We start from the raw sequence: 6,460 nt of genomic DNA, 5'->3' as shown, positions 1-6,460 counted from the left end.
CTTCCCTAGAAAAAGACAGGAGGGAAGAAGAACATAAAACAACCAGAAAACAAATAACAAAATGGCATGAGTAAGTCCTTACTTATCAATAATAACATTGAATGTAAATGGACTAAATTCTCTAACCAAAAGCTATAGACTGGCTGAATGGATAAACATGCAAGATCCATTTATCTGTTGCCTACGAGAAACACACTTCACTTATGAAGATATACATAGACTGAAAATAAAGGAATGGAAAAAGATATTCCATACCAATGGAAACCAAAAAAGAGCAGGAGTTGCTATAGTAATATCAGACAAAATAGCTCTTAAGACAAAAATTATAAAAAGAGACAGAGAAGGTCACTATATAATGATAAAGGATCAATTCAGCAAGATAATATAACAATTTTAAATATATATGCATCCAATACTGGAGCATCCAGATACATAAAGGAAATACTATTAGAGCTAAAGAGAGAGGCTCCAATATAATAATAGCTGGAGACTTCAACACCTCATTTTCAGCACTAGACATGTCTTCCAGACACAAAATCAACAAAGAAACATCAGACTTAACCCACACTATAAACCAAATAGATCTAATAGGTATTACCATAACATTTCATCCAAGAGCTGCAGAATACACTTTCTTTTTCCCAGCACATGAATCATTCTCAAGGATAGACCACATGTTAGGTCACAAAGTAAGTCTTAAAACATTAAAAAAATTGAACTAATATCAAATATCTTCTTGGACCACAATGGAATAAAACTAGAAATCAGTAACAAGAGGAATCTTGGAAAGTATACAAATGTAAATAGGAAATTAAACAATATGCTCTGCAATGACAACTGGGTCAATGTATTAGTCTGTTCTCACAATGCTATGAAGAACTGGATGAGACTGAGTAATTTATAAAGTAAAGAGGTTTAGTTAACTCACAGCTCTGCATGCCTGGGGAGGCCTCAGGAAACTTATAATCATGGCAGAAGGCACCTCTTCACAGGGTGGCAGGAGAGAGAATGAGTAGCAAAGGGGGAAGAGCCCCTCATAAAACCATCAGATCTTGTGAGAACTCACTCACTATTATGAGAACAGCATGGGAGAAACCACCCCCATGATCCAATCACCTCCCACAAGGCTTTTCCCTAGACATGACACATGGGGATTATGGGGATTCCAATTCAAGAGGAGATTTGGGTGGGGGCACAGCCAAAACATATCACTCCAGCCAGCCCATCCTAAATCTCATGTCCTCACATTTCAAAACACAATCATGCCTTTCCAACAGTCCCCCAAAGTCTTAGCTCATTCCAGGATCAACCCAAAAGTGCAAGTCCAAGGTCTCATCTAGACAAGGGAAGTCCTTTCTGCCTATGAGCCTGTAAAATCATAAGCAAGTTTGCTACTTTCAAGATAAAATGGGGATACAGGGATCAGATAAATGCTCCCATACCGAATGGGAGAAATTGGTCATAACAGGGGCTGCAGGCCCCATGCAAGTCCAAAATTCAACAGGGCAGTCAATAAATCTCAAAGTTCCTAAGTAATTTCCTTTGACTCTATGTCTGACATCCAAGTCACAATGATTCAAGAGGTGGGCTCCCATGACCTTGGGTAGATCCACCCTTGTGGCTTTGCAGGGTAGAGCTCCCTGGCCCAGCTGCTTTCACAGCTGGCGTTGAGTGTCTATGGCTTTTTCAGGTGCACAGTGCAAGCTGTCAGTGGGACTACTATTGTGGGGTCTGGAGGACAGTGGCCATCTTCTCACAGCTCCATTAGGCAGTGTTCCAGTGGGGACTCTGTGTGGGGACTTCAACCTCACATTTCCATCCTGCACTGCCATGACAGAGATTCTCCATCAGGGATCCACCTGTGGAGCACACCTCTTCCTGGACATCCAGGCATTTCCATACATCTTCTGAAATCTAGATGGAGGTTCCCAAACCTCAGTGATTATCTTCTGCATATCTGCAGGACCAGCACCACATGGAAACTGCCAAGGCTGGGTCTTGCACCCTCTGAAGCAATGGCCTGTGATGTACCTTGGCCTCTTTTTAGCCAGGGCTGGAGCATCTGGGACACAGGGCTGAGGCCACACACAGCAGCGGGTCCCTAAGCTTGGCCCATGAAACCATTTTTCCCTTCTAGGCCTCTCAGCCTGCCATGGAAGGTGCTACTGCAAAGGTTTCTGGAAACATTTTTCCCATTGTCTTGGTGATTAACACTTGGCTCCTCGTTACTTATGCAAATTTTTCCAGCTGGCTTGAGGTTTGAATTTTTCCCCAGAAAATGGGCTTTTCTTTTCTACTGCATTGTCAGGCTGCAAGTTTTCCAAACTTTTGTGCTCTGTCACGTCTTGAATGCTTTGCTGCTTATAAATTTCTTCTGCCAGATATCCTAAATCATCTCTCTGAAGTTCAAAGTTCCACAGATCTCTAAGGGCAGGGGTAAAATGCCACCAGTATCTTTGCTAAAGCATAACAAGAGTGACCTTTACTGCAGTTCCCAAGAAGCTCCTCATCTCTCTCTGAGACTACCTCAGCCTGGACTTCATTGTCCATATCACTATTGGCATTTTGGTCAAAAACATTCAACAAGTCTCTAGGAAGTTCCAAACTTCCCCACATCTTCCTGTCTTCTTCTGAACCCTCCCAACTGTTCCAACCTCTGCTCATTACACAATTCCAAAGTCGTTTCCACATTTTTGGGTATCCTTATAGCAGTGCCCACTACCTCAGTACCAATTTACTGTATTAGTCCATTCTCACACTGCTATCAAGAACTGCCTGAGACTGGGTAATTTATAAAGAAAAGAGGTTTAATCGACTCACAGTTCTGCATGGCTGGGGAGGTCTCATGAAACTTACAATCATGGCAGAAGGCACCCCTTCTCAGGGTGGCAGGAGAGAGAAGAGCAAGTAGCAAAGGGGGGAGAGCCCCTTATAAAACCATCAGAACTCACTTACTATCATAAGAACAGTTTGGGAGAAACTGCCCCCATGATCCAATCACCTCCCACCAGGTCTCTCCCTAGACACATAGGGATTATGAGGATTATAATTCAAGATGAGATTTGGGTGAAAACACAGCCAAACCATATCAATCAATGAAGAAATTAAGAACGAAATTAAAACATGTCTTGAAACAAATGACAATGGAAACAAAACATACCAATATCTATGGGATACAGCAAAAGCAGTACCAAGAGGGAAGTTCATAGGTATAAGTACTTACATCAAAAAAGAGGAAAAACTTCAAGTGAATAATCTAAGCATGCATCTTAAAGAACTAGAAGTGCAAGAACAAACCAAACTCAAAGTTAATAGAAGAAAATAAATAATAAAGATTAGAGCAGAAATAAATGAAATTGAAATGAACAAAATAATACAAAAGATGAATGAATCAAAAAGTTGGGTTTTTGAAAAGTTAAACAATATGACAAACCTTTACCCAGACTAAGAAAAGAGAGAGAAGATCTAAATAAATAAAATCAGAAATGAAAAAGGAGACATTACAGAAATTCAAAGGATCATTAGTTGCTATTATGAGCAGCTGTATGCCAATACATTGGAAAATCTAGAAGAAATGGACCAATCCCTAGACACACACAGCCTATCAACATTGAACCTGGGAGAAATCCAAAACATGAACAGACCCATAACACGTAATGAGATCGAAGCTGTAATTAAAAAGTCTCCCACTAAATAAAAGCCCAGGACTTGATGGCTTCATTGCTGAATTCTGCCAAACATTTAAAGGATAATTAATACCAATCCTACTCAAATTATTCCAAAAACAGAGGAGGAAGAAATACTTCCCAACTCCTTATATAAGGCCAGTATTACTCTGATATCAAGATGAAACAAAGATACATTAAAAAAAAAAGAAAACTACAGGCCAATACCTCTGATGAATATTGATGCAAAAATCCTCAACAAAATACTAGCAAACCAAATTAAATAATACATTAGAAAGATTACTCATTATGACCAAGTGGGATTTATCCCTGGGATTCAAGGATGGTTCAATATACTCAATTCAATCAATGTGATACATCATACCAACAAAATGAAGGATAAAAACCATATGATCATTTAAGTTGATGATGAAAAGCATTTGATAAAGTTTATTATTCCTTCATGATAAAAACCTTAAAAAAACTGTGGATAGAAGGAACATGCCTCAACATAATAAAAGCTATATATGACAGACCCACAACTATTATCATACTGAAAAATTGAAAGCCTTTCCTCTAAGATGTGGAATACGACAAGGACACCCAATGTCACCACTGTTATTCAATGTAGTACTGGAAGTCCTAGCTACAGCAATCAGATAAGAGAAAGACATAAATGGCATCCAAATGGAAAATGAAGATGATATAATCTTATATTTGGAAAGACCTAAAGACTTCACAGCAAAACTATTAGAACTGATAAACAAATTCAGGAAGTTGCAGGATATAAAATCAACATATAAAATTCAGTAGGATTTCTGTATTCCAACAGTGAACAATGTGGAAAAGAAATTTTATAAGTAATATCATTTTTCATAGCCACACATAAAATTAAATACCTAGGAATTAATTTAACCAGAGAAGTGAAAGATCTCTATAATGAAAACTACAAAACACTGATAAGGGAAATTGAAGAGAACACTAAAAAAAAAAAAAAAAAAAAAAGAAATATTCCATGTTAATGTTAATGGATTGGAAGAATTTATATTGTTAAAATGTGCATACTACCCAAAACAATCTGCAGAGTCAATGTGATCCCTATCAAAATACCAATGACATTCTTCATGGAAATAGAAAAAGCAATCCTAAAATTTATATAGAACCACAAAAGACCCAGAATAGTCAAAGCTGTCCTAAGCAAAAAGGTCAAAACTGGAAGAATCACATCATGTGACTTCAAATTATACTATAGAGCTATAGTAACCCTAACAGCATGATACTAGCATAAAAACAGACACATAGATCAATGCAACAGAATAGATAATGCAGAAACAAATACAAACACCTATAGTGAACTCATTTTTGCGAAAGGTGCCAAGACATACATGGGGAAAGGACAGTCTCTTCAATAAATGGTACTGGGAAAACTGAATATCCATAGGCAGAAGAGTGAAACTAACCTGTATCTATCACTATATAAAAATAAAATAAAAATAAATTGAAGATGTAGATCTGAGACCCCAAACTATGAGACTACTACAAGGAAACATTGGGGACTATCTCCAGGACATTTGTTTTGGCAAAGACTTCTTGAGCAATACCCCACAAGCACAGACAACCAAAGCAAAATGGACAAATGGGATCACATCAAGTTAAAAAGCTTCTCCTCACAGCAAAGGAAACAATGAACAAAGTGAAAAGACAACCCACAGAATAGGAGAAAATATTTGCAAACTACCCATCTGTGAAGAAGTTAATAACCAGAATATATAATATAAAAGGAGCTCAAACAACTCTATAGGAAAAAGTTTAATAATCTGATAAAAAATGGGCAAAATATTTGAATAGACATTTCCCAAAAGAAGACATACAAATGGCAAACAGATACATGAAAATGTGCTCAACATCACTGATCATCAGAGAAATGCAAATCAAAACTACAAGGAGATATTATCTTCTACCAGTTAAAATGGCTTACATCCGAAAGACAGGCAATAGCAAATGCTGGCAAGGATGTGGAGAATAGGGAGCCCTTGGACACCGTTGGTGGGAATGTAAATTAATACAACCACTATGGAGAACAGTTTGGAAGTTCCTCCAAAAACTAAAAATTGAGTTACCATATGATCCAGCAATCCAGCTACTGGGTATATACCAAAAGAAAGGAAAGCAGTATATTGAAGAGATATCTGCACTCCCATGTTTGCTGCAGTACTGTTTAAAACAGCTAAGATTTGGCAGCAACCTAAGTGTCCATCCACAGTTGAATGGCTAAAGAAAATGTGGTACATATACACAATGGAGTACTATTCAGCCATAAAAAGAAATGAGATCTAGTCATTTGCGTCAATCCGGATGGAACTGGAGATCACTATGTTAAGTGAAGTTATCCAGGCACAGAAAGACAAACATCACATCTTCTCACTTATTTATAGGATCTGAAAGTCAAAAACACTGAACTCGTGGACATAGAGAGTAGAAGGATGTTACCAGAGGCTGGGAAGGGTAGTTGGAAGGTGAGAGGCAGAGAGAGATGTGGATGGTTAACAGGTGCAACTAAGTAGAAAGAATGAAAAAGACCTAGTATTTGATAGCACCATATGGTGATTACAGTTAATAATAACTTAGTTGTACATTTAAAAACAAAGAGTGTAATTGGATTGTTTATAATTCAAAGGATAAATGCTTTATGGGATAAATATGCCATTCCCCATGATGTGCTTATTTCACATTGCATGCCTGTATTAAAATACCTCATGTACCTCATACAGATACAAGAAAAGAAAGTAATACTT

General features: G+C 37.7%; 2 annotated features.

The window, feature by feature from the left end:
- Positions 1,587-2,087: an enhancer, noted in NCBI's record as "H3K4me1 hESC enhancer chr4:37148075-37148575 (GRCh37/hg19 assembly coordinates)". NCBI's record gives its function as "activates a minimal SCP1, AML or CMV promoter by ChIP-STARR-seq in naive H9 embryonic stem cells {active_cell/tissue: H9 hESC(naive)}" and the evidence as "EXISTENCE:reporter gene assay evidence [ECO:0000049][PMID:30033119]".
- Positions 2,088-2,588: an enhancer, noted in NCBI's record as "H3K4me1 hESC enhancer chr4:37147574-37148074 (GRCh37/hg19 assembly coordinates)". NCBI's record gives its function as "activates a minimal SCP1, AML or CMV promoter by ChIP-STARR-seq in naive H9 embryonic stem cells {active_cell/tissue: H9 hESC(naive)}" and the evidence as "EXISTENCE:reporter gene assay evidence [ECO:0000049][PMID:30033119]".

This window comes from Homo sapiens, chromosome 4 (genome assembly GCF_000001405.40).
Source record: "Homo sapiens chromosome 4, GRCh38.p14 Primary Assembly".
NCBI classification, from domain to species: Eukaryota; Metazoa; Chordata; class Mammalia; order Primates; family Hominidae; genus Homo; species Homo sapiens.
The sequence above is the reverse complement of the archived record's forward strand: the minus strand, read 5'-3'. Positions and strand labels throughout refer to the sequence as shown.